The following is a 27,322-nucleotide window of genomic DNA, read 5'->3' as shown; positions in this document are numbered from 1 at the left end:
CATAGTGTCATTCCACTTGATCCTCAAAAGCCAGAGTAGAAAGAGCATGAATGCTTTTCTTAAGCTTCATGCAATGTGTTCCGAACCACTCACAGTGACTTACCTTTTATCTCCTGGCTTAAACATAGGACATCATTTTGCAGTTTTTAAAATCAGTTTAAAGAGATGGGTTTTATCTATGTGTGGTTTGGATTGAACCCTTAAATGTAAATTTTTGAGAAATTCAACATAATGTATTTATTTGTGATCATTATACTTGTGTTTTCAATACATGCTGGGTTTGGTATCAAAACATTTAACATACTGGGGACATTTCTCATCTATTTTATACAATCTTGGCATGTTAAATGACTACAACTCATCTCATGCCAAAATAAGAACATGCAAATGCCTCAAAGAAAGAAAATCTGTTTACTTTCAAATTCTCAATTTTAAAAACTACTATGGAATACAGATTTTAGTTTATTGATTAAAATAAAGATTCCAGAGTTTAAATTCTAGGTGGCACTTTTGTTTTTATAGTCCTCAGGCCCATTTTAGGCTTCATTTTATCCTGTCATCTCAGTCTCCAACTGTGAACATTATGTACCAGTCTTCACATAGCAGGTACATTAATTACAGACCATTAATGTAAACCACAAAAGAGTGGTGGGCAGTGGGTGGGGGGTGAATGGAAATGGAAAGAGGCAACAACTGAGGGCATTGTGCTTTCTGTGAGAAATATGGGGAGAAGGCTAGGAAATGTTCTTAACTTGTGTACTCAGAGCTATTTATGCCTTGAGTTCTAGAAAAGCACATACAACTTTGTGGTTTCGTGTGCTGTTTCTATCTACATCTCATACTGTTTTCTATTCTCAAAAAGTAACCCTGTCATCCTCTTTCCTCTCCAGATTATTTTCAGGATTAGCTTCTGTTATAAAAAATAGCTTGTACAGATCTCCTACAATAATTATTTTCTATTTTATTTCTAAGGTTTATTTATTTATTTATTGAGACAGACAGAGTTTCACTCTTGTGGCCCATGCTGGAGTGCAATGGTGCAATCTCGGCTCACTGCAACCTCTGCCTCCCAGGTTCAAGCGATTCTCCTGCTTCAGCCTCCTGAGTAGCTGGGATTACAGGCGCCTGCCACCACACTCGGCTAACTTTTTGTATTTCTAGTAGAGACGAAGTTTCACCATGTTGGCCAGGCTGGTCTTGAACTCCTGACCTCAAGTTATCCACCCACCTCAGCCTCCCAAAGTGCTGGGATTACAGGCGTGAGCCACTGTGCCTGGCCTCTAGGATTATATTAATAGAACAATCTTCAATTATTTTATCTTTCTTTATCTTTCTTTTCATGTAGGAAATGTCCTAAAATTTTCAAACCCTCAATTTGAAAGCACTTTTAAAATTATACATAGTCGAGCATTTTATATAAAAACAACTAAAAAGTCTGTGACATTTTGCAGTATAAAAATGCAATGGCAGCAGCAGGCCTTATTAATTGAGCCTCTTGGAAATGTGGCTGGTCCTAGGTCCGTAGCCTCAAAGGCCCTGGCTTGTAACTGCAGGAGCTGACCAGCACAGCTCTATAACCAAGTTGTACATCTTCTAGCCTGTGTCCAAGAAAACCAGAATCACAACGCTCTGTGGATAGTGACATCTTAAAGTTTTCTTTCCCTCCCAACTCTTTTGCCAGTTCATTGAATTGCTTTAATAATTTCCTTAGTTTCATTCATTATCTGTTAATAATCCATGTACATTTTGAGAGTAATTAAAACACATACGCACACACAGAAACAACCAACACAACACACAGCTACCACTGAATTACTTTCCAGTAAGAGATGTATGTATAAATGATTGTACCAAAAAAAAAAAAAGAAAGAAAATACCAGCTACAGGGCCCTGCCTGGGACTGCTTGATGCCAGGGGGAGAATGGGGTCTCCCCCTGGGTATGGGTGGGTATGGGCCTGCTGCTTCACCTTTCTGAGCCACAGTTCCCTATAGGGATATTTTGAACATCAGATGAGATAAGGATCACAGTGCCTAGGCATTTAATAAATATTCGTTGAATTAATAAAATCATCTGATTATGGTATGGTAGTAGTTCAGAAAATTCTGTCATAACCCTGTACTCTTTCTTTGGAAGGGCTCTAAATGGGAACACAATTAGTTGTAGTCTCTTGCATAGCTAATGTGAGAAAGAGGGAATGTGGTATAAACAATTTTTTAACTAAAAATAATATTTCCTTCCTTTATAACATCCTTCTTCCATCCCAAAGTATAGTTGTAAATGGAACTCAAAATTGTTGGTCTGGAATGACCGTTAGTGTGAAGGAGGAAAAGAAAATTGGGGTGTCTTATTTCCCCTCCTCTGATTCAGTTACTTAGATCACCTGAAACATACATATGATTCAGAGCATATATTTAGATGTTTTCACTTTCTTATTTGTGTGTGTGTGTGTTCAGTCAATTTGCTAATGAAGACACTGAAAGTCAGAAATTCCTGACAAATGGATTTTTGGGGAAAAAGAAGCTGGCAGATTATGCTGATGAACACGTAAGTGAATCTATGCTTTCAGGCAATAAACGGGACTGAGGGTGTCTGATCTACCTAGGTCTCTGTGGGAAAACAATGTGACTGAAATTTTCCAAGCCTTGATCAGCACATTCTGTGTTTATTCAGGCTCTTACTGGAATAAGGGCTTGTTTTTTCCTGTTCGCCATATGGCTGCATGAATCATTTATGAAACTTATGTGTTTTGGGGGGAAATCATTCTAACCCAAAGGTAATCTACAATCATACATGTTTTCCCTTCTTTATGTGACTCCCCTTGTAATTTGTATTTTTACTGAGGCCTCTGCTGAAACCAAGCACTGCATTCCGTTGAAAATTACATGCTTTTATTGATGTTGAGTAATGGCTTTACTCCTGTAATGTTATCTTAGTCTTCAATTTTGGACTGTAATCTGCAGATAATGTGAGAATAAGGATAACCCCTAAAGGTATGCCCTTTGGCAAATGTTTGCTTATAATACATCCCTTCTTTTTCAAGCATCCCGGAACCACTTCCTTTGGAATGTCTTCATTTAACCTGAGTAATGCCATCATGGGCAGTGGGATCCTGGGCTTGTCCTATGCCATGGCCAACACAGGGATCATACTTTTTATGTAAGTGAATGTATATGTCTACATTTGGTGATGAAGTCCATGCATACCTGGTGGCTTTTTCAATTAACAATCTCAAGTTTGATCTTTGTGAACGTGAAGACTCAGAGGAGGCTAATCATGGCACTTGGTCACCCAACCATCCCTAACCCAACGGCAGAAAGTGTATGTGCTCAATCAACCAAAGTGCTGGAGCAGCCTCGCCAGAAGAATTTTGTTATTCAGTAAATACTTGAAATAATTTGGTGTTTAGCAACCAAAAAGATCTTTCCCAGAAGCAAATCTGATTTTATCTCATTCTTAGGAAAGAAGCAACCAAGCCTAAGAGCCCTGCATGCCCTTGCCTACCTTATGTCCCATTCCCTGTACCCCTGTGCGACAGATACACTGGGCACAATAGCCTTCTCTCCATCCTATGAAGATGCCACATTCCCTCTCACCATTGGACCTTTGCACATGGTCTTGGAACCCTCTTCTCTTCCTTCTTCATCTAGTTAACTCCTCATATGTCAGTTCAGTCTCACCTGAATACTGCGCGCCCTGATCTCCATGACTGGGGCAAATCACCTTATCATAACACTCACCACAATTTTAATGTTTTAGTGCCATTTGTCTGATTCATTTGGTTAATATCTGTCCCTCTTGCTGGACTATAAGCTCTAGAAAGTTGAGCCCATGTCTGTTTTTACTCACCAATGTCTCTACCTCCAAACCTAGAGCAGTGCCTGGTACAGGCAATATTTGTTGAGTGACCAAACCTTATTCCTAAACCTACGTACTTTCACCAAACTTGTTCAAATGCTGCCTAAGGGTAGCAGCATCTGGTAGTTGACCTGTAGGGTGGATACTGCACTGTCTATGACAGACAACAACAGACGTTTATGTGCATCATGTACAGCCTGGCATTTTCCAGGATATAGTTGGCAGCAGTGGAATTCTTCACAAGAATAAAGTCTGATGTTAGGCACCACTGTGGACACAGATCCTAATCCCAAATGCAACGCTAGAGAGTTAAATAACTGTCTAAGAATGCAACATTTATATCACAAATATGTGCTGTTTATGTTCTGAATATCACATATGATTAGTAATCACACAGCTATTTGAGGGCTAAGCATCAGGACTATAAATATTTGTATTGTGTTAGTGCTTTGATTGAACTCTTTTATGTATAATATTCTTCAGCTGAATGGGTTTTTATATCAACTTTACTTTTATATAAGCCATGTTTTGAAATAAACTAGGATTTTAATAATCTGAATTTTAATAGCTATGTATGTAGTCATATATTTGTATGCTTTTGTAATGTGCTTACCTCTAAGACAAAAAAAGCTGCCTTTCCTTATTAATTATACATACCATTAAAATGAATTAGGAAGTTACAGATCACTGATGAATAGAAATAGGAAAAACTTCCCCCAATCCCACAGTCATAGATCATCTTCATGAGAGAAGAATGTTCCACTTTTTAAAATGAGGGCCTCATTTTAGGCTTATAAACACTTAGCAGATGAATTTGGTCAGAACAATTAAATCACTAAACATCATGGGGTGTGTTTTGTGTGTCTAAGTAGCCCAGACTGGATTAAGCTTTCTCTCTTAATTTATAGCAAGTGACACAGTATTTTAAAGGTTTTACTCTTAGTATTTTCTGCCAGAGAAAGTACATGTTTAGAATACAGGGAATGCTCATTATTTTTCCAGGGAACAAAATTATATAATCTGAATTACATTATTCCTTAAAAACAGTTAAGTTCATAAGGCATATGGAAAAATATAGGAATAAGTCATTGGTTAGACAGTTCTGGCAAACATACTCTATGGAAAATAAGAGTGCAACATAGCTACAGGGGTTATAAAATTTATAATTCATGGTCCAAATGTACATTTGTAGTATTGATTTCATTGGGAATTACCAAGGGATTAGATCAATTGTGGGGAAAGTGTATTTTTTAAAAATAAACAAAGATAAAGATTTTTTTTCTGAATTCCAGGTAAAAGGCAGCATTGCTCCTCCATTTATTACGTAGATGCTTCTATCAACATTCTTATTTTTGTGCTCCAAATCTTGGATTTGGAAAAATACCAATCCGTATAAACATAAAGAAACCATACATGCATGTGGGGGTCCTAACACCAGAAATAACTCTGAATGCAAAAAAAAAAAAAAAAAAAAAAAAGGAATTTTCGTGCCCCATCCTTAGCTTTCTCTGCTTTCTCTATTATATATGCAACTGCCTGCCCCTCTATCTTACAAAGTACTTCGTAATCTAATGCACAGGATCAGCAGTAATGCAGCTCAGACTGCATGCTTTCGCCTTTGGATTCCTAGATTTCAGATTAAGGTTTAGTCAGGCTATTGAATAGCCCTTCAATTCTAAGTGTTGATGTGAATATCATGCAAATATGATGTACATATTCCCATGTGCTGAGTAAGTAGATGTAGCATTTGCTAATGTTGCTATACATTTAGCATCTAAGTTATGAACCAGATTCTACCACTGGGTAACATTAAAAAAGTTAGGGACTTCAGGTATGTAAAATATAGCAAATTCTATTTCTACGACTTTAAAGGGTATGTGTAGAGTTCTGAAAAGAATTTCTCAGCCTCCCCCAAATCCACATACTTTTGGAAAGCTGATGATTGAAAAGATTAATGTGATCCTTTATTGTAACATCTAACATAATTACATTTTATTTATTGTAGAAACTTTATTACCTACTCTCTCTTCCCTTTGCAGAATCATGCTGCTTGCTGTGGCAATATTATCACTGTATTCAGTTCACCTTTTATTAAAAACAGCCAAGGAAGGAGGTATGCTACCACTTGAGTCCAACACATTCTATTTTAATTCTCATAAAAGAGTATTTCAGTCTGTTGCTTCATAACCTTAGGATGATTATAGTCAGTTTCACATTTCATTTTCTTCTGAGCCCAGTGACACGATCTCTCAGTGTTTATAGTTGTTTGGGCAAGTGAGAGGCAGGAGTGAAAGTCAACTGGCTCAGGTTCAAGACAAATAGAAAAAAGAAATTTCTGATATATGATAGAAATAACTGTTTTGACTTGCTACATGCAGCTAAAATAAATAAAACCATTGATTCTTGTTTGGAGAACATTTTGATATATTGCTTATTGGTTTTTGAGGTTGCATCTTTTGGGCTTATAATTTCTATATGATGTTTATTTACATGTTTGAGACTCCAGCATGGAATTATATGACAAAAATATTTTAGTCATTAAAACAATCTCTTTAACAAGGCTATTTTATCTTTGATTGTAGGGTCTTTGATTTATGAAAAATTAGGAGAAAAGGCATTTGGATGGCCGGGAAAAATTGGAGCTTTTGTTTCCATTACAATGCAGAACATTGGAGGTAAGGGGATATACTTTTCAATGGATCCCATAAACTTTCTATAGCGTGTTCAATAAATAAGAAAACTTATGGCAATAAACAGGCACTTTAGATACAGAAAAATTGCTACTTATAGTTCTTAAATTTTAAAATGATAGTTTCTTAAATAGGTTTGTGTCCTGCTTTAATTAAAAACAGCAATATCTAAGAATGAAATAACATATAAAACCCTGCCAATTGAATTCTAGAATTAAAATATAAAATAAAAGCTTTCTTGATTTTTAATGTTATTACAGCATGAATTATTACTCTTAAAAATTGAAGAATTTGTGCTTATATCTGTCATTGACAAAACAGTTGACGTTTTCTATGTGTGACTGAGTTCGATTTACTAAACTGAAAAGTGGTTGTCTGGGGGAACATAGCCAAATGCTGTGGTCCTTGAAACGCAGCCTGCACTGAGCCAGCCCACTAGACAGTGTCTCTGGAAGTTTACTAAGGCAAAAGTCTGGCTAGGCATCAAATGCACTATAAACCCCGGTTTGTTGATTCTATGGATTCTTATAATTCCCACTGAATTATCATTTCCAGTGTAGGACCTAGAAATATATATATATATTTTTAACAATGTTCTCTCGTTGGTGTGTTTGCCCACCAGCTTCATACTGTTTCTGTTGTGTCTTTGGCCCTCAGAAGGCATCCAAACCCATATTTCAGATGTCCTGCCGGCTGCTTCCTGGCACATGGCCCCAGCCATCTCCCCACATAATGACACTTACTCCCTCACCTCCTACCCAGTCCCTAAACCTGCTATTCTATTTCTCTGATCTTTCTTTTCTCAGTGAATACCACCAGCAGTCATCCAGTTTCTGAGGGCAGAAATCTGGATGTCAGCGTAAATGTTTCCTTTTCCCCAACTCTGCATGTCCAATCAAATGGCAAAGTCTGTTCATTTGATCTCTTACTTATCTCTTGAACCTCTCCTCTCTGTCCGTCCTCATGACCACAGATGATCACCATTTATAGCTCAGACTATTGCAGTAGTCTTCTAACTGGTCTTCCTGGCTTGAGTTTCCCCTGCTCTCAGATAAACTCTAATTTGTTCTCCAGATAAACTTTCTCAAATTTGAGTCTGTTTCTACTTTTGTCGTGCATAAAATTCTTCAGCATGCCTTTATTATTTTCAAGGAAAAACTTAAACTCATTGGACTGACACAAGATCTTCGTCTAGTTCTTCTGCTCAATCTTTCTAAACCTTTCCTAGCAATGCCCATATCTATCTATCTTTATCTATCTATCTATCTATCTATCTATCTATCTATCTATCTATCTATCATCTATCAATTTATCCATCATCTATACCCTACATGTCCTGTGTCAAACCATAACAAATTATATTTATTCCCCTAACAGTACTATTTTAATATTTTTAAAAATCATCCATGCCTTCTTTTCACAGGCTACTTTCTCCCCTTGACTGTCTCTCAAAGTCCTCCAACCCTAACACACACACACACACACACACACACACACACACACACATTTTCTCTCTCACTCTGCTCACCTGGTCTATTGCTCCTCTAGACTGGTAAATACTAGTTCCTCTGGGCTCTCATGGTCCTGTTTGTATCTAGTATGTTACTGTTTTCTAAAGGATATTTTAAAACACTTGAGTAGAGAATAAGCTTTTGGAGTCTGATGGACCTGAATTTGAGTCTGTTTCTGTCACTATCTGTGAACTTGGGAAGATCACTGTACTCCTTTGTCTAATTTTTTCATGTATAAAAATTACCTTACAAAGGCTATTGTGAGGATGAAATAAGGTAACATATGGCACATAATAAGTGTTCTGTATATGCTTCTCTCCTCCCTGGTTCTCTGCTTCCATATCCATGTCTCTGGAGTTGCCTGAATTATTTTTTAAATAGGCATTTAAAAAATTATAAAACAAATATATGATGATTGTGAAAAACTAAAACACTGCATAAATATATAAATTACCAAGAAAAGTTTATGTCAGTCATCCTCAGAAATAACTACTCATAGGTTTTCCCCTATGCCTAATTCAACAAATACATTGAATATTGTTAGTATTGGATCATCTTATGATACCGATTTTCAGCTTTCTTTTTAAATTTAACAATATGCCTTGAATATATTTGCATGTTATTCTTTTTAATGATTTTTGAGGTTTCCATTACACAAATGTGCCATAATTTGTTTACAGTATCCTTATTGATGAACAGTTGGATTGTTTCTAATTTTTCACTGTTATAAAAATGCTACAGTAAATACACTTGCACAGAGATCTTGCAAACAGGCAACCCATTTTAATAAATAAATTCACTGGAGTTATCAAGGATTTCTGGAATGCAGAAATTTCTTTAGTAATCTATCTAACTATACTCACCCTGATAATGGATAGTTGGTAAGCAGATAAGTAAAATTCAGCCATATCTTATGATTTGTGTTAAAAAAATTTTTATATGTTAAGACTACAATCTTGGGTAGAATTTGACAGTAATATCAAAATTGTCTCATTCATTTTACTGGTTTGGAGCCATATGCATATTAGCCCCCCAAATCCCAACAAATAGACCACTTTACATTTGTTTCAAACTCTCAGCCTTATCAAGGTTTAAAGTATCGAGCATTTCATAGGATTGCCTTATAGTTGGTCTAATTTAACAACTGAAATAACCAGGCATAAGCATAATTAACCCTGGACTCAAGAAGTTGAGTGGCAGCACCTCAGCTGTGGTTCAAAGCATAGCCACTACTACGCTTCTAAACAATGGAATAAAGTATAAAGCGGTCTCTCAGTCAAGCCTCACACAGGTAAGAGGCGTGACTTTAAGGGAGTAAGATGAAATATCGTAACATCACCCCAGAAATAATGCTCTCACTTTGGTTACTTTATTTGATTAGTTGATATTTGGCATAAGAGAAATCACTTGTATTTCTCTATTTAACAACTCTACATTTAGAACACTTAATTTTCTCAATCCCCTAAAAAATTAACATTTACTGCAGATGTTTTCACATTAACAGATTAATGTCTGGATCATTCTGAATTTTTGAAGACCAAACATGTTAACATCACTGACATCACTGAAAACCAGCAATTAATAGCTGTAACATTGAATGGTACCTCACCAAGCCAGCTAATCAGAAATATCTCCTGTGTTCACACTCTGTAAGATTTAGCTTTAGCCAAGGTCTTTGCAAAGATTAACCAAATAATGTGTACAGAAGGTACATCCGCTATTGTAAAAATCATTTCACTTTGACAGTACAGAAGAAGCACCAGCCCTTCTGTTTTAGATGTAGTCCGTCCTTTTCAAGCTGTATGATTGTGGACATGTCAACTTAACATCTCGGAGTTTTTATATCTTCATCAGTGGAATGAGAATAACAACATATATCTTGTCATCTCACAGGGTTTTTCAGATGATCAAATGAAGTAATGTGCAGAACTAACCAATGTGGGGAATTATTATCATCACTGTTACTTTCATATGAAGTGAAGAAAATATTTTTAAACTCAGTAGTTTAATTTACAATTTAAGTATGTGTTTTAAAGTGCCTGTTAGCAAAAATTCACTAGAAGGATGTAGGACACACTTAAAGTTTTCATGTAAAATTTGTGAGTTCTATTTTTAACTGAATCTTTTGGCCATGTGTCAACAAATTAACGTTATCCTTCACCAAATGGGTGGGCTTGAAAAAGGCGTGATGCATAAATATTTACAGTTGTAGGCAAAATTGTAATGTTATGTATATGAATACATATTCATTTTTTCAGGGAGAAGGCTTGTAGATTTCATCAAGAAATCTTTCACAAGAGTAGATAATCATTCATGTATCACTTACCTAGATGCTCATGAAATTTTGCCACTTTATATAATTCCTTAGTTAGCCAAAAGGAGAGTAAGATGAAGAGGGGGGAAAAAAAAAAACTTCTTTGACAAAGATGGAGAGAAGCTGTCATCTCTTGTATTCTTTTATCAATCCAGGAAGCCTTTGGTTCTGACAATAAGTGGTCTGAGACTTTGTGTACTCCTCAGATAGGTCCCGGAGGACTAGATTGGTGCCCATCTGCAGAAAACCAGAGGGGATATATTGACTCTGCAGATCTGCCCTTTGATTCTGCCATCTCTCAGCTGGCCCATGCCTTTTGTTGCCAGACTACTGCCCAAGTTATAGACACTAACACAGGCACACTGAGTATGGGCTATGTTGATTTATAACTAATGAGGGCAGAACCTTAGAACTGCAGCTTCACTGTAAACTTTGGAGCAGGATTTAACACAGAATCAGCCCTGATACTGTTAACAAAGGTCCACCTGAAAGAGCTGGAAGGTCAAATGTCTATCTTGGAAGAGAACTTGGAAGCAGTGCCAAATACACAATGACTTTTTTTTCCATTTGGGGGATTAGATGTTCATCTTACATATCCCAAATGTCATAACTTGCTTGCATGTGACTTCAGTACTGTCCACACCATTAAGCTGTCACATTTTCCATTTTAGCAATGTCAAGCTACCTCTTTATCATTAAATATGAACTACCTGAAGTAATCAGAGCATTCATGGGACTTGAAGAAAATACTGGGTATGTCTTATGCTCCCTCTGTGACATCAAGTGACTCATTCTACTTGGTCTTTTCTGATTCTAATATCCTTGTCTCTCACTTCTAGAGAATGGTACCTCAATGGCAACTACCTCATCATATTTGTGTCTGTTGGAATTATTCTTCCACTTTCGCTCCTTAAAAATTTAGGTAAAGATATTTTCTAACTGGAAATATTTTTATTTTTATTTCACATTTAAATAGGTTAGCTAATTGTAGATGCCATATTCACCTTCCAAAATGCTTCTTCTAACTTCTAGGTTATCTTGGCTATACCAGTGGATTTTCTCTTACCTGCATGGTGTTTTTTGTTAGTGTGGTAAGTGATGTGATGACATGATCCTTGCAGGTTGGTTAGCATGAGTTTTTTTGTGCCTAAATTAGTGTCCTCATTTTGTTCAAGCACTTCACTAATATGAAATAGTTCTTGTATCACAAGTGATTTTCTTGTAGACTAATTTAGAGCAAAAAAAGAGCAGCTACGATTTAAAGATAGTTGAGGTAGAATATCAAAGCTACTACTAATGGTTTGGTCTAGGCACACTGGTTATATATGGGGAAAAAAGGAAAACTTCAAGCAGGAACATGACAATAATCTGGCATTTAGAACAGCAGAGGAGAGTCCCAGATGAGAAACAAGAAGGCTATACCCATATTCACATGAATCAGCCATTCTCTCTTACACATTCCACCCATTAAGAGAGGACAAGAACAGTGGGATTAAAGAAGAAATCCTCCTCTCTAGGCCCCTGACAAAAGAGGGAATTTCTTGCACTATCATGAATGCCAAAATTTATAAAGCATTTCCCCAAAGAGGTAAAGGAGAAGGAAAAAAAGTTTTGAAGACCCATGTCACCTTAGTTTGAAGAAATAAGGAAATGATCATCTTTCTCATGGAAGGGCATGAAAGAGGGTGGGAAGGATTCTTGCAAAATATTGTCCTGTTAACTCTAAGAGGCAGGGCTGCCAATCACAGCTCCAACTCTTCCCTTAGAACAGAGGCTAGAGGAAGTTTACTTTGTCCATTAGTCTAAAAGGAATCCCTAACTGAGTTCCCTCACCCCCCACCCTATAAGCCACACATATGGATTCTTATTTCATTGTTTTTTCTCAAAAAGCTGATTTTTTTTTCTTTTTTAATGACTGAGTCTAGGTGATTTACAAGAAATTCCAAATACCCTGCCCTCTACCTGTTTTGGATCACAGTGTTGGAAATCTGTCATTCAACAACACGCTTCCAATGCATGTGGTAATGTTACCCAACAACTCTGAGAGTTCTGATGTGAACTTCATGATGGATTACACCCACCGCAATCCTGCAGGGCTGGATGAGAACCAGGCCAAGGGCTCTCTTCATGACAGTGGAGTAGAATATGAAGCTCATAGTGATGACAAGTGTGAACCCAAATACTTTGTATTCAACTCCCGGGTAAGTGAGCGGTCCGGGCTTCTAATGAGTACAGTTATGTGTTTTCTAAGTTTTTATTCAATAAACTGAGATGGCCTGAGATCACCATCTATGTTGGAATGCTAAACACGTGGTGTTGTCTTTGTTTTTCAGACGGCCTATGCAATTCCTATCCTAGTATTTGCTTTTGTATGCCACCCTGAGGTCCTTCCCATCTACAGTGAACTTAAAGAGTAAGGCAGCCATCATTTTAGCATTCTAATTTGCTTTGAAATTCTGCTCATATGTTCAAAGATTCTTTAACAGGAAACACAGTTTATAGCTTCCTCTTCAGAGAAAATATGTACTCCATCCACTCCTCAGTAACATGCTTTAATCAGAAAGGTGGGAATCAGCCCACCACAGCACTACCTTATCTTCTTTCTCTCCTTTCTCTCCACCATAATGGTTCAGGGGAGGGGTTCATGGCAGGTGGACAAGGAGTCGATGGTTGTAATAATTTTGGCAGGTGTTGGGAATTTAAATTTGAATTTTGTTCGGAAGAAACGATGTCAGCTGGACTAGAAATGAAAACACCCATGACGACCAAAACTTATGGTTAGGGGCAGCCTCGATAAGCCAGTGATGTCATTTATAGTCAGCACCTAACCCTTGTCTAGAACACATTCATTACAAGAGATGTGTCAATATCTGTCCTTTGTTGTCTTATTTGTACAATAGAGTCACTGGCTAGAAAATCTTGTTTCTTCCAGCTGATGGTCTATGGTTCATTTGTATTCTTTTCCCTTTGAAGTTGTTGATATTTGCTTGGGAACAAAGGATATGAACTCATTATAGCTGTTTTCCTCTTTCCTTTAAGGGAGGGTATTATATAATAATTCTCAACTTCTTTAATCTAGACATCAGTAACCTCAGTCTTCATTCTCACTAAATAGCAAAACTTTCCCCATAAATTCTGATTTACCTCATAAAAAATTTCAGAACACTTTCAAGTATTTTGATGTCTTTGATTTACTTTGAAAATTACATGTAGCAGTTACTCCAGAAGCCTGACAATTGATCTTTGGCAGCCAGGTTCCTTCTAGAATGGTTTTCAGAAGCTTTTCAGGTAGTCTGGACTCCTGGCAGTAGTACTTTGCTGACTCTACTAGGTTCTTTTCCTCATCTAAAGTCATCTCATTATGAAATGCAAAAGCTTTCTATGTTAGGAGCCTGTTTGATCTTTATGTTAATTATATTCTTATTCAGTGGGCAAGCTTACTGACCTACGTGAAATAGACTGTTCCTCTTCTAGGGAAATGATTGTTTTTAAGACTGAAGGACTAGTGTTTAAGAAAAATGGAAATGAATCCTCATTAGCTCTCTAAGACAAATTTAAATCAGCTATAAGTTTATGTACTAAATATGTCTTCATGATGAGCAATATAGATATACTTTTTTATTATTATTTTCATTTTGAAAAGTGATTTTTTTTTGTAAGTTTAAAAAACAAAGCTTGGTGTTCTTTCTTTTTCCAGTCGGTCCCGGAGAAAAATGCAAACGGTGTCAAATATTTCCATCACGGGGATGCTTGTCATGTACCTGCTTGCCGCCCTCTTTGGTTACCTAACCTTCTATGGTAGGTCACTCTGAAAGTCATTCTCTATATGCAAATCCTTGTTAGGCTGGTCCTTGACCTGGGTAGGTATGATTTTTAAAAATTGCCTTCTATAAGCATGCTCTATAGATGACACATATTCAATTAATATACTATTTTAGTTTTGTCACTTGACCTGAGGAAATGGGGCCTGATTCAGCCTGGCTAACAAGTTACAAGAATTTGTGAATTAACACCTATTTTATAAAAAATATCCCTCAAACAAAATTATTTTCCTCTAGGGATAGATGATATTTCTCTGGCTAGACTCCATAGTCCAACTCAGGCTACAAGTGATGAGAATGAATCCACTTGCATGTGATAAAGCTCCTTTGATGGAATTATTACCTGCCACACAAATAGCAGGGAAACTGCCAGGTCCTCAAGTTTGAATTTGCCTCCTCTTTACCAGTCAAGTCAAATCTGGGAGCTTGGGACTTTAGGTAAAATTTCTGACATATCCCATTCTATTTTGTTATACTAAATGATTTCCTAAGAAAGAGGACATGACAGAATTTCCTTCAATCTAAGAATGCACCACCAAAAAAAAGTGACTATGGCCACATTAGATTATGCCTGCAACATTTCCTCTCTGGCATCTTAACAGTTCACAAAGGGAGTAGGATTGTACTCCTTCCATGAAGTGTGGCCACATAAACAGATTTCATGGAATCACATATTGACCTGGTAGCATATGTTTACATGAATCAGTGTATCAATATAAATATATTTTTGTATAAACCTCCTTTTAAAGTTTTTAACTTAATTTTTTTCTTACTGACTTGGTAAATTGAATTGCATGTATGACAAATTGTGGAGGAAAAGATTCAGGAGTAGGCCACCATTTGCTTAGGTTTTTTTTCTATTTGACTAATATTTGACTATTAACCAAACATGTGCTTTAGATTGGGCATTAACTTTTTGCCGGTTGTGAAATAATGAATGACGAGGTCAATACTACTGAAGGTATTTTCACTCCTTTTTGTCTGATCTTGAGGTGAAAATCCAACTACGCTTGATTCCATAGATATTTTCTTGTTATTTGTGCTTGGAGTCCTGAATGAAGGTGTTTTCAAGTAGGGCTGCATCTTCGTCTTAGAGTAGTACCCACTGGGAGACCATCTAAAAATTATACTAATTTATCCCTGCATGTTACTTATACTTATTTTAATGAGTTTCATAAGACAAGCAAAAACTTGAAAGAGCCCAAAAATATCTGTTTTAGTGTGGTGATGGAGTCATAGTTGTTGAGCTTGAAAAAATGGTAGCAATCATTCATCCTAGAGTTTACACACTGGGTTTGTAACCTGCATCAGGAGTGGCTGCGCAGGTAGGGACAGGGGAGGTGGTAGGCTGGGAGAGACAATATGTGGGGCTTGGGTCTCTCATCCCCTTCAACAAGAGCACCTTGGTCTCTGTCTGATTTGTAATTGCTTCTGTACAGCGGAGATAGATTTATCACAATGTAAATGAGCTTGAGAGGCTCTTTATTTTGTATTATACCTTCTGCAACGTTATCAGCTTCAGGACCTCTTTGTTCATTTGAATGAAGGTTGCATAGCTAATGAGCTCAGAGGCAAGACCAGAGGTGCCTGGATTCCCAGGCCTAGGTCTTTTCCTCTGTTCTGTGTTCTCTCTATAAAATGTTGCCATAAGTGACCTGTGCTGATTTGACAACACCAAGCGGTTTCATTCTCTTTTTCCTGTTGTAGGAGAAGTTGAAGATGAATTACTTCATGCCTACAGCAAAGTGTATACATTAGACATCCCTCTTCTCATGGTTCGCCTGGCAGTCCTTGTGGCAGTAACACTAACTGTGCCCATTGTCCTCTTCCCAGTAAGTACATAAGACTTTGATGAAAGAAACCTACTTGACCCCATAAATTAGTACATGTGTTCTACCTTCATTTTGATTTAATTATAGGGTGAGTTTGCAATTGCAATGCCTGAGGATATTATTTTCCTATAGCATTTTGAGTCACTTAAAATTGGCCATTTAATGTGTAGATAGAGCAAGTAGTTTCAGGTGGTATTTTTATAGTGTAGGAAAAAAATCATAAAACTTATTTTTAAACTCAAAGTTGAAAAGTGGAGCTGGAGCTTCTGTCTTGTGGATTAGTAAAACTGAGTAGGAGTTCATATAACTTTGGAACCTTGAAAGCCAAAACCATATTAACTTTCAAATCTTATTAAATTTCATCACAGTTTTGAAGGCATTTCATTTTTTTTCCAGTTTGTTGTGCTGCAATAATATACAAAAGTTGCCTTTTTTAACCTGATGCCTTGAAGGCTAATGAAAAGGGGATTCATGTTAAGTAAATTATATACCAGAAAAAAATTTTTCAAAAAACAGTTATGCTATCTATCACATATCTCTCTCACACATGGCCTCTGCCAGACTCACACCAGGTCACCCCTCCCTGGCATTTGTCATTGGTGTCAGTTTGTTCTGAGATCCCAGAGCAGAGCTGGTAGTGAAGATTTGGGCTGTGTGAGTTAAAACCACCACCTAAGGATAAACACAGGTCTTCACCCTCCTGCCAGCTCCTGTTTCATAAACACTGAATTTACTCATTCATTTGAGGGGGAAAAAAATAAGTGACACAGTAACCAGCACTGTCCTGGACATAATGTTCCATACAGGGCTTGCATATGAAGACTATTTCTATAATGACACTGTGGTCACTTTAAATGCAGCTTGTGTGCTGAAATATATTTTGGCACATTCCTTTTTCATGAGTGCATGAAATCAGATCCGTACTACTATGGTGGCTAATATTTTACTCTTAAATCATGTCTTGCCTCTAATATATCTGAAAGTATTTCAGATGACATACACATAGCTTTAGCCTAAAATCAGCTCCGTCTTGGGTACAAGACAGAAGACAACTATAAACAGAAGGTATACGATAGGGTAAAATTGCCAGGCAAACAACTTCACTGAGAAAAGGATATCTGGAGCCCTTCTTTTTATGTGTAAAAAAATCACTCACTAAATTTTGGCACAGTGTAAGCATTCACATCATTGTAGAATCAAAGCATAAGAAATCTGTGATGTGCTTCTGTATTGCTTTATTCATATTCATATAGTGTTTTCAAGCCATGGTTTTAAGGGATTGCCAGAATTGGCCATCGTCACACAGACAGCTGGTAACAGTTCAACTAGTGCAGCTCATAGCCCAACACTGAGGGCTGCAATTATTGTCATGGGAAGTAAAAGTCATTTACTGATGAACATTTCACCTCAGCATGGAAAATCCAAATCTCCCCTTAGAAATTCTTACCCTATGTGAGAAATAAAGCACTGATATAAATCTGACCATCAGGAACAGCAATAGTGTGTAAACATTAGATGCCATTAGAACCAAAATTGACCATAAGAACCAGAGTTCAGAAAAATGACTAACTGCTGTCCTTCATTATGTATTTCCACTCAACATTAGCATTTATGAAACATTTTGCACATTATCCTGTCCTCACCCTTGCAATGTTACATTTATATAATCTGTGTAAGTGCTCCACTGCCCCACAGAGTCATAAGTCCCTGGGACTTGGTGATGTGCACAGTGACTGGCACAGAGGGTGAGCTCCGTCGTGCTTGGGAAGAAAAATGGTCTTCAAATGAATCTTGCTTTGTCTTGAAATGTATAAACTGCCTTTTCTAGCAAAAGCATAGACACTCTTTCCCTTGGTGACATGTGCTACGAATTCAGCTGGGTTGAGGATCTGGGCTAAATGAACCAAACCTCCCTATACATGAAGGATACACAGAGAAGGTGACAGAGAGTGGTCACTTCCGTGAGTGGATCTCAATCAAGTCCTCTGAAGCTAAATTCAATTTTTTTTCTTTACTAAAATGATAAAAGTTGTTATTGGCGCTTTTGCTTGTTTATTTCGTATAACTTAGGGCTCAGATTTTCAATGTGTCAAATGCTGACTCACAGCATGGTTCTCCTGACAGTTTATTTCATTTAAGGAACTCTTCACCAGTAAGTTTATTTACTTGCCTTGATATCTCCACACATTAATAATAAAACTAACAAAACCTAATCTGAATTAAAATCTATCAGCTTTAGGCATTATTTTGTGTTCTCCTTCTTTCAACATGGTAACTGGGCTCTCTTTCTTAGGAGCTTGAGAAGATATGACTGGGGTTTGTTTTTCTCTACTTCATTTATTATCTTTCTTTTTTCCAATCAGGTTAGTTTTTTCCTTTTTAGTAAAAGGTGCATAGTAACTGCTTGTAGTATTTGTTGAACAAGTGAATAAATGAAATGAATTAAGGTAGTGTTTTCACTAGCAGCCCAACATTTCTTTCTCTCTTAGTAGTGGGTGGGGTATCAGTTATGGAATGGCACCTCCTTCCAGAGGACTGATCATGTCATTTTCAGCTTATGCTTCCCTTTATGCAGTAAAGTTTCCATATTTCCATAAAGAACAAGAAACCAAATAATCCTAATGGATATATAATGAACACACAGATGAAAATTTCACCTGCCATGCCTTTGAAAAAAGATCCCTAGCTACTTGTATTTCATCTTATAATTAAAATCAGTCTTTTCACTTATGTTGCCTTCAGATCTCCTGTTTTGAAGTGTATATAGATATCAACATAGAAATGCAGCGTATATTGCTATCAACTGCAGTGGAGCAGTGATTCGTAGGTTTTCCAACATCCTTGCCTTAAGCAAACCTGCAAAATCAAAGTGTGAGCTACGTCTAAACAATGGGAGAGGCTTTTTTTTTTTTTTTAAGAGTTAGAACTAAGACTCTCACTTCCTCCTGTGCCTCCACATTTTTGACCTTCACATTGGGCCCCTGCATCAGAATACAGCACCCCCTAACAGGCTCCTGTTCAGGACTCTTTCTCTGGAAATAACAGATGTTGTCTCTAGAGCTGCATAGAACCTTAATGGAATCATTGTGGGTCAGAGGCCCTGGATGGTGCTGGGGACCTCCCTGACCCACAGCATCTGACCCACATTTCCAGGTTCCTAGCGACTTGTGTCAGTAAAGAAAAAGGCACATAGCTAAGTGGAAGAGCAGATGAGGCTTGGTGGGAATCAGCCAGTGGTCTGCCCTAGCAAAGGTAAACAGAACTGCTGGGGGCTTTTGGTCCTAGGCTCACTACTCAGGGAGGCACTTTAACATGGAATGACCAGCAAGTTTCCTTCCTGATCTTTTCCACCACCACCACAAGCCTAGTACCTCCCTCCCTCTTTGCTCTGTTGCTCTCTTCAGGAATGCACTGGAAACCACCTTCAGTTCTGTTTGGAATTTTCCTATTCCTTATTCAGAAAGAGGAAGAAGCTTTTGCATTTACTCCAACCGTTCTACCTATTATTGCCATAAACTTTCTGTGATCTCATATCATTAGGCCAAATGTTAATCTTTCTGGGAGCCAGGAGACTGCTTTCACATTCAGAGGCCCTGGACATATAGGACTGCCTCTAACTCACTCTAACTCAGCTTATTGACTTGAATGCACCTTTTTAACAAGTGACTAAAAAACAAACTGTGACTATTCTCTGAAAATGAGCCTATATCTCATACTTATTTATTCTGTTTAACACTGTGAAACAAATTAAGTCCTCTGGCACTATGTATATACCATAAAAAGCTTATTCGTAAGCCTACTAATTGGACCAGTTTTGACAATATTGAATAAGCACTAATTGCAGATCATAATGTAGAATTATAGGCTGCTGAGGAAAACAATATCACACCATTTGCTTTCCTCAGTTTCCTTTTCAGAATGAGTTTCATAATGTTCACTAATCCAATTTTTAAAATCCTTTACAAAGTTATTCTTAAACTATTTCCAGAGACTATCTGGTTTGTCATTCTAGAAATGAAATTGCCTTTTCAGCCTAAACAGATGGCCTTAATTTTTGGTGGAGTGGTATGAAAGGAATGTCACATGAGAAACTGCAAGCTATTTAGCTTGAATTTTTTGTCATTCATACATGTTTCAAAATATATTTTACATTTTCTCTCTTTTAAATGAGTTCCCATCTCTGCACCTTAAGTGACTTCAGAACTAAAATTTTAAAGTGAACATCAATCACAGCATTTCCAAAAATGTGAACTCCTAGCTTAACCGAAGTATTCACTTATTGGAAAGCTGATAGAGTAATTCCACTAAGTCCAAAAAGTGTCCTCTAAAAGATTCCAAAGATAAGAGTGTTTTCAACTTTGTCAAGCTGTACAAACACAAATGTCACTCCCTCCCTCTGCCCACAGGGATCTTTATCCAGTTACAGCAGCGTAACTTGAGCAGCTGCTGCAAACTGAGGCTCTCTTGACCCTTCGCCTACTTATTTCAGCTGCTAAAATAGGGCTGAAATCTGTCAAGGATCCTGAAGGGAAGGATAAGATTCCTACTATTCAATTTAATTTAAGCTTTTATTCAGTGCCTGCTGTGTGCACAACACTAAGCTAGAAAGTCTGAGGAATGTTTAGATTATTAGGTCCTGTTCCTTGCCTTTCATAGATTTACAATCTATTGATAGGGAGAGCTAAAAAGGAGAGAAAGAGGAAGGAGCAAACACAAAAACGTCAAAATTTTAAAATACCATTTTAAAATTTTATTTTAAAATGTTAAATACCATGCAAAATTAAGGAAAACCTAGATTCATAAAAATTCCTTTCACAATCTTGTGTAAATCAATTCAGTGCTTGCCCTTAATGTCTCATCCAGTCTGATGAGACATGTTTTGTGATCAACAAGGGTTTTACTATGTTTCTTAATTATGTGTCTTGCCTGTTATCTCTTTCTGACCGAGATTATTTTTAACAATAAATTCTGAAAACTAAGAAAGTGAAAGCATAAAATATTGTCTTATAAAATAGGCCAAGGAAAAAATGACACTCCATTTCAAATATCAAAAGTTAGCATCAAGACTGCACAAGATGAATGTACAGTCATGTGTTGCTTACAAATGTGGACATATTCTGAGAAATGCATCTTTAGGCAATTTTGTCATTGTGCAAACACCATAGATTGTACTTGCAGCCTAATTGGTGGAGCCTACTATACACTAAGGCTATATGGCATAGCCTAGTACTCCTAGGCTACAAACCTGTACAGCATGTTACTGTACTGAATAGTGGAGGTACCTGTAACATAATGGTAAGTATTTGTGTCTCCAAACGTAGAAAAGCTACTGTAAAAATACAGTATTACAACCTTAGGGTATCACTGTCTTATATGTGGTCTGTTGTTGACCGAAATGACTATGCTTAATACCACTGAACTGTACACTTAAAAATGGTTAAGATGGTAAATTCTATGTTATGTATGTTTTATAATAATAAAAAAATTGAAAAAAGCATCAACATCTTTTCTGGGAAAAAAGAAAAGGAAAGAAAATGCATTAGAGTGATGAGAATATTTGAAGTAATAGATAAAGTCAAAAACAAAGAAATGATCTTGCCTTTGAACTTTCTTGTTTAAGATTCGTACATCAGTGATCACACTGTTATTTCCCAAACGACCCTTCAGCTGGATACGACATTTCCTGATTGCAGCTGTGCTTATTGCACTTAATAATGTTCTGGTCATCCTTGTGCCAACTATAAAATACATCTTCGGATTCATAGGTGAGTTTCAGAAAGGCTTCAATTTGGTCAACCCAAACTCACGCCTCATTAAATGATGGACAGGGAACCAGTGCTGGGTCATCCAGATCCCCGTTCTTTCTCAGGCTCATGGATTCCCTTTATCCCTGAGAGGCTCTGGTGATTGAGCTGCTCACTGTCTCTTCCTCCTAACTGACATTGGGAGCCACCTTATAGGTCATTTAGTCAAGCTGCTTTTTCTGATAGATGAGGAAACTGACCCCTATAAAAGTCAAGTCATATACCTTGGTGTGGACCCAGGATTTGGACTTAGGTATTAGCTCCACCATCAGGAAAAGAGGAAGATAGATTTTACCTGCCAGAAGCTCTCTGATACTACGAGTATCAGCTGAACATTGAAAGGTATCTTCAGAGGAATAGGAGGTTGATTATATAAAGTGTATTATTAGTATTTCCCCATAACTGCATGGTCTATTAATTTTCATTCTACTCATTGAGGGTTTACTTAAACTTTAAACACAATCTAAAACTTTAAAAGAACCATGGGTAGGTCACTTGCAAAGTAAGAGGTGGATAGGGTGTGTCATGAGTTCAGCCACCTTAGTATGTATTTATATTACTAATCCCCTGTAAATTTGTGTTAAATTCAGCCTTTTGTTGCTTATTATATGTTGCATATACTTATGCAGCTTTGATGTTAGGTACATTTTAATTGTCTCTATAAACATATCTTCTATGAATAAATAACCAAGATGAGCTTATGTGACTTAAGTGTGTGTTTTTAGTGCTAAGTATAGGATAGCTTTATATTTGGTTTATTTAAAGTGTGTGCTGGCATCTCCTTTGCTAGGAACTGCTGGGTAAGACATTGACCTTGCCCTGTGTTTGTCTTCTCAGGGGCTTCTTCTGCCACTATGCTGATTTTTATTCTTCCAGCAGTTTTTTATCTTAAACTTGTCAAGAAAGAAACTTTTAGGTCACCCCAAAAGGTCGGGGTAAGTAAACCTTGCAATTTCCCCCATTATTAGTTGTTCTTCCAACTACTTAGAATAAACTAGAAAATACACATAGTTCAGAAAAATGAATCAATGTACAAGAACCAAAAATCAAAACTGGGCTAGAACTTTCTGGTAGCAGAGAAAGGGGACATATTTCTGAAACTCAAATGATTCTACTTCAAATATCAAATATCCTGTGTTGAGTCTGTCATACATGTCAAATAGTAGTAGCCTTTCCCACAGACACATATGCTTCAGGCAAATAGCAGTGTCCAATACCAAGCTGCTGTTGTGCTATCCGTGGAAAATCATGCAAGAAGGAATTAGGCTCCCTAGCGGTGTTATGGAATAATTTAAATATTTTGGTCATGGTTGTTAGGTTTGCAAAGCCAAAGGAAAGATGTTGCTTTTGTTTTCCCTTCCATAGTACCTGTTGTCCCTGGTGTGGACTAAGATCCAGAACAGAACCATTCATCGTTCTGTTAACCTCTTTAGATACAAAATACAGTCTTATTAAATTAGAGAGTACATATTTCTTTTCCATAAGACTACTATAGAAACAAATGCTAGAAATAATTGTTTTTCCAATAAGGAAATATTATCTTTCACTCCTTAATAAAGTCATGTTAAGGCTTGAAAAGAATATTTCTTACTGAATTACTCTGAATTTTTACCTTGAAGTCATTTACCTTTGGGATGTTCTGGGGACTTCAGGATAATTTGGTATCAAAAGGTCCACCCAGCAGCTTGCTCCCAAATTTTAACTCTATGTAGTCCGTCTTGCTTGGATTTTTACAGCAGTGTGACCTTGGCAAATTACTTGTCCTGTTTGTGACCTATTTTCAGTTTGACCAATTGTGAAATGAGTACAATTATCTCCTAGACCCATTCTAGTGAAAAATGTTTAGTTGCTGCTTTCTTATATGTAGGATTAGGAGGTTTAAGTATGTGATAAAATGTAAGGCCTCTTCTGGTGTTAAAATGCTGAAGTATTTTATATGTAGGTATGTACATATATCCTTATATATGTGTGTGTATATTATATGTATGCACACACACACACACACATATATACACTTTTTGTTGCAACATCTATTAAGCTTTTGGTTTTGTTTGCTTTATAAAATTAGAATCATATCATATATGCTATTCTTTTTTAACCTGCTCTTTTTCACCTAAAAGATTGTAAGCATTCTCTAGATTATTGAATCTTTTTCTGTCCCTTGATTTTTAATAATCACAGGGTATTCCATCATCTTGGTGTACTAAATCAATTAACTATTACTCCATTGTTGAACCTGTAGGTTGTATCTCTCCACTGTATTCCTCTTCTTTCTTCAACTAGGATTCTAAATTGACTGATAGGTTAGGCCTGGGCATCTGAGATATTAAGAATAATATGGCTCAATATATAGATCAGATTGCCATATTATGTAAACAACTAAAAAACAAATTGTACTAAGTATGGTTTCTGTGCTCCTAACAGAGTCTCTCTGAATTACAGGCTTTAATTTTCCTTGTGGTTGGAATATTCTTCATGATTGGAAGCATGGCACTCATTATAATTGACTGGATTTATGATCCTCCAAATTCCAAGCATCACTAACACAAGGAAAAATACTTTCTTTTTCTATTGGAAATGGTTACAAGTTATACTCCAAAAGATATTTGAATTATCTTGATTGGAATGTTATTCATAGGAAATAACAGGAAGATTCCAAAGACGTTTACCAGTAATATCACCAGGCACCTGCAGAAGAGGAAAATCACTGTTTTTGTCAAGGATGGTTGTGTATGTGTTTAAAATAAAACCTGTGGTGCACATTTCTACCCAGGTTTTGCTAGAGCAGTGTGAGATGATGAAGGTGTATTTTTGCTGCTTTACGAGCAGAATAAGGGTAACTGCATGTAACAATCATCAGATAGTACTCTTTCCCCTGCCGTCTCCTCATCCTGCACCCCCTAAAAAAGTACCAAACATTTGCATTCTCAGAACATCAAACAAAAATGCCCTGGTGGCAAAGCTATCACCATTTAATGTCTTCTCTCAGTCTTGCACCAAAGTCTCTGGTCTGTTTACTAACAGAGGCAAAAGGCATGTCTTAGGAACTGTTTCTGTTTCTGTAAGGTACATGAATGGTCAAACACCAGTCTAGAGCATCTTATTGTCAACAGCAAAATAATATTTTGCCCACCCTGTTTGTGACATTGAGTTGTGACTTCTATATTCAATAGATTTTTGTAAATGTTAAAACATCTATATTTAAATGTTAAAACACTAAATATAGAGAGGGGCTTTATTTCAATCATAGAGCAACAACAAAAATAATGCTTATAGCTAAACTGCCTGTTCTAGAAAGCATCTGCTTTTTCATGTTATTCCTAAATCCTCTTGTCATACTTTTGTCATTGAACAATGCTCTCCCTCTCGTCTTCCATCCTCATTCAGAATTTTTAGAAGACCACAATCGTGGAGATACACTACCCAGTATTGTTTGATACATTTTTATTTGATAAACATTCAGTGCAGGAAACTGTGATTTGCTATATGTTTATGTATATAATCTTATTCTGTAGTCATCAGAATGTTAATGTAAGGTACATTTGATTTTTATTTTTTACATGTGTAGTTTTCTTTCTTCACAGTCAAAGCATTTATATTATTGGGGGTGGGGGCAGGGAATTAAGTTGGTGGGCTCGAAAATCCATTCATATGTATCTGTCTACAAATGTCTGGGGATAATTTAAATTTGAAACCTAAGTTATATATAGTTTGGCAATGCTCTTCTTCAATATTTACAATAATAGGATGATCTACAAGAAAATAAGTTTCTTTTTGCAAATTTTTATCATACTAAAGTTGTTCTTTTAATTTAGCATATCTAAAATAGGATTTAGTTCAGTTTAGCTCACACAGGTGTTTGCTGACATTCATTGGCCATTTAATACAGTGTTGAGTGGTTCTCTGTAAAAGTATAAGTGCTAACACTACGAAGAAATGCACACGATCATTCTTGCTCACTTCTATAACAAACTTACATAAAATGGATTTAAAAATTCCTACTCACAGCCTAAAACTTCTGGAGTTCACTACCTTTTTTTCAAATCATAGTAAGATCACTTGTGTATTTTATATTTTAGTAAAGCCAATTATGAAGTACAAGTATCATACACGTACTTTTGAGCTACTATTATTTGAAAAAAATCTGCCAAATAGCATCTTTAGGATATATTTACATTTTCACTCATCTAAAAAGTATACAAAAATAAAAAGTGGAAAAAGGTATCTTCTGAATGTTCAAGAGCATCCTATAGTGCCAAATAATAAAGCACCATTTTTTTCTTCATAACCAGGATTAAAATTCATATATACTGCAGGGCAGACATACATATGATAGCTTGTGCTGATTAATTTAACCCCATTTGTAAACAGATGAAAATTTTATTTTCTTATTTCATTTATAAGATGGCTCAATGTATTGGGAGGCTTCTTTTTTATTACAGAAAGTGTATATTGGTATATAATAAATGAACTTTTCAAATGACTATGATGTGATTTTTGATCTATTGTTAAAGAATGTTGTGTTATTTGTCCATGAAACAAAATTTAAAATCCAAATACTGTCTTTCTTATATTGGTTTATGTTCCATTTTCATTGTTACCTTTGACACATAACTAACATCTATAGCCATCATCCTGAAAATAATTGCCATCTTATTTTGGCAAAATAGATATTTAATCCTAAATTATTATGATGATTATAATTTTGGCATCACATATATACCACCTAGAATGAATGTGGAAGAAATGAGTCTTTTATGGTTAGTTTGAAAGAATCCATTGAAGATAGAAAATGAGAGAATAGAAGAAACCTGAGAATAGTAAAATAAAGAGCAGAGAAAATATGGGGGCAGGGAAAACATGTGAGTGCTAAGGATTGATTATGAATGAACGATTAGGGGGATTGACGGATCACAGGGTAAGTATATGCTTAACTTTATAAGAAACTTCCACATAGTTTTCCACAGTGTTTCTACCATTTTCATTTCCACCCGTACTACCTACAACTTCCACTGACTCCACAGCCCTGCCAACATTTGGTGTTGTCTTTTGCATTTTAGCCTTTCTAGTGGGTCTGAAATGGTAACTCATTGTGATTTTCATTTCTGCTTCTGTGACAACTAATGTTGAAAACTTTTCAAGTGTTTAATGGTCACTCATATATCTTCTTTTGTGAAGTGTGTATTCAAATCTTTTGCCCATTTTTAAAATTTAGGTTATGTGTTTTTATTGGGTATTTGTAGAAGCTCTTTAAATATGGATCCATGTCCAGATTGCCAATATATTTTCCCAGTCTATGGTATGGTTGCTTATTTTCCTAAAGGTGTCTTAATTACATCTTTCTGGGGCCAGGTCACCATAGCTCAAAGTTTTGCAATTTATGTCTTAATGAGATAAAATTAATCAGAGTGGTATAGTCAAAATTAAATGTTTTGATGTCCTGGGCCCATATAGGTAGGACTGGATCATCTAACCAAGATGCAAAAAAAAAAA

The 27,322-nt window shown here is 36.4% G+C and overlaps 1 protein-coding gene across 3 annotated transcripts in view; it reads left to right on the top strand.

Moving 5' to 3' along the window:
* Positions 1-26,313, top strand: part of SLC38A4 (solute carrier family 38 member 4) — a 67,671-nt gene extending 41,358 nt beyond the window's left edge. For all 3 annotated transcript variants that reach the window (XM_005268997.3, NM_001143824.2, NM_018018.5), the window contains 14 exons: positions 2,456-2,546; positions 3,043-3,158; positions 5,897-5,970; positions 6,440-6,532; positions 11,044-11,125; positions 11,212-11,294; positions 11,405-11,463; positions 12,298-12,573; positions 12,706-12,785; positions 14,070-14,170; positions 15,901-16,025; positions 21,646-21,790; positions 22,667-22,764; positions 24,272-26,313. In XM_005268997.3, the coding sequence (XP_005269054.1) occupies positions 2,456-2,546; positions 3,043-3,158; positions 5,897-5,970; positions 6,440-6,532; positions 11,044-11,125; positions 11,212-11,294; positions 11,405-11,463; positions 12,298-12,573; positions 12,706-12,785; positions 14,070-14,170; positions 15,901-16,025; positions 21,646-21,790; positions 22,667-22,764; positions 24,272-24,373 (1,525 nt within the window). In that variant the 3' untranslated portion in view covers positions 24,374-26,313. The remainder of the gene's footprint in view (positions 1-2,455; positions 2,547-3,042; positions 3,159-5,896; positions 5,971-6,439; positions 6,533-11,043; positions 11,126-11,211; positions 11,295-11,404; positions 11,464-12,297; positions 12,574-12,705; positions 12,786-14,069; positions 14,171-15,900; positions 16,026-21,645; positions 21,791-22,666; positions 22,765-24,271) is intronic.
* The last annotated feature ends 1,009 nt before the right edge of the window (positions 26,314-27,322 follow it).

This window comes from Homo sapiens, chromosome 12 (genome assembly GCF_000001405.40).
Source record: "Homo sapiens chromosome 12, GRCh38.p14 Primary Assembly".
Lineage (NCBI taxonomy): Eukaryota > Metazoa > Chordata > Mammalia > Primates > Hominidae > Homo > Homo sapiens.
This window is presented reverse-complemented; position numbering and strand designations above follow the sequence as displayed.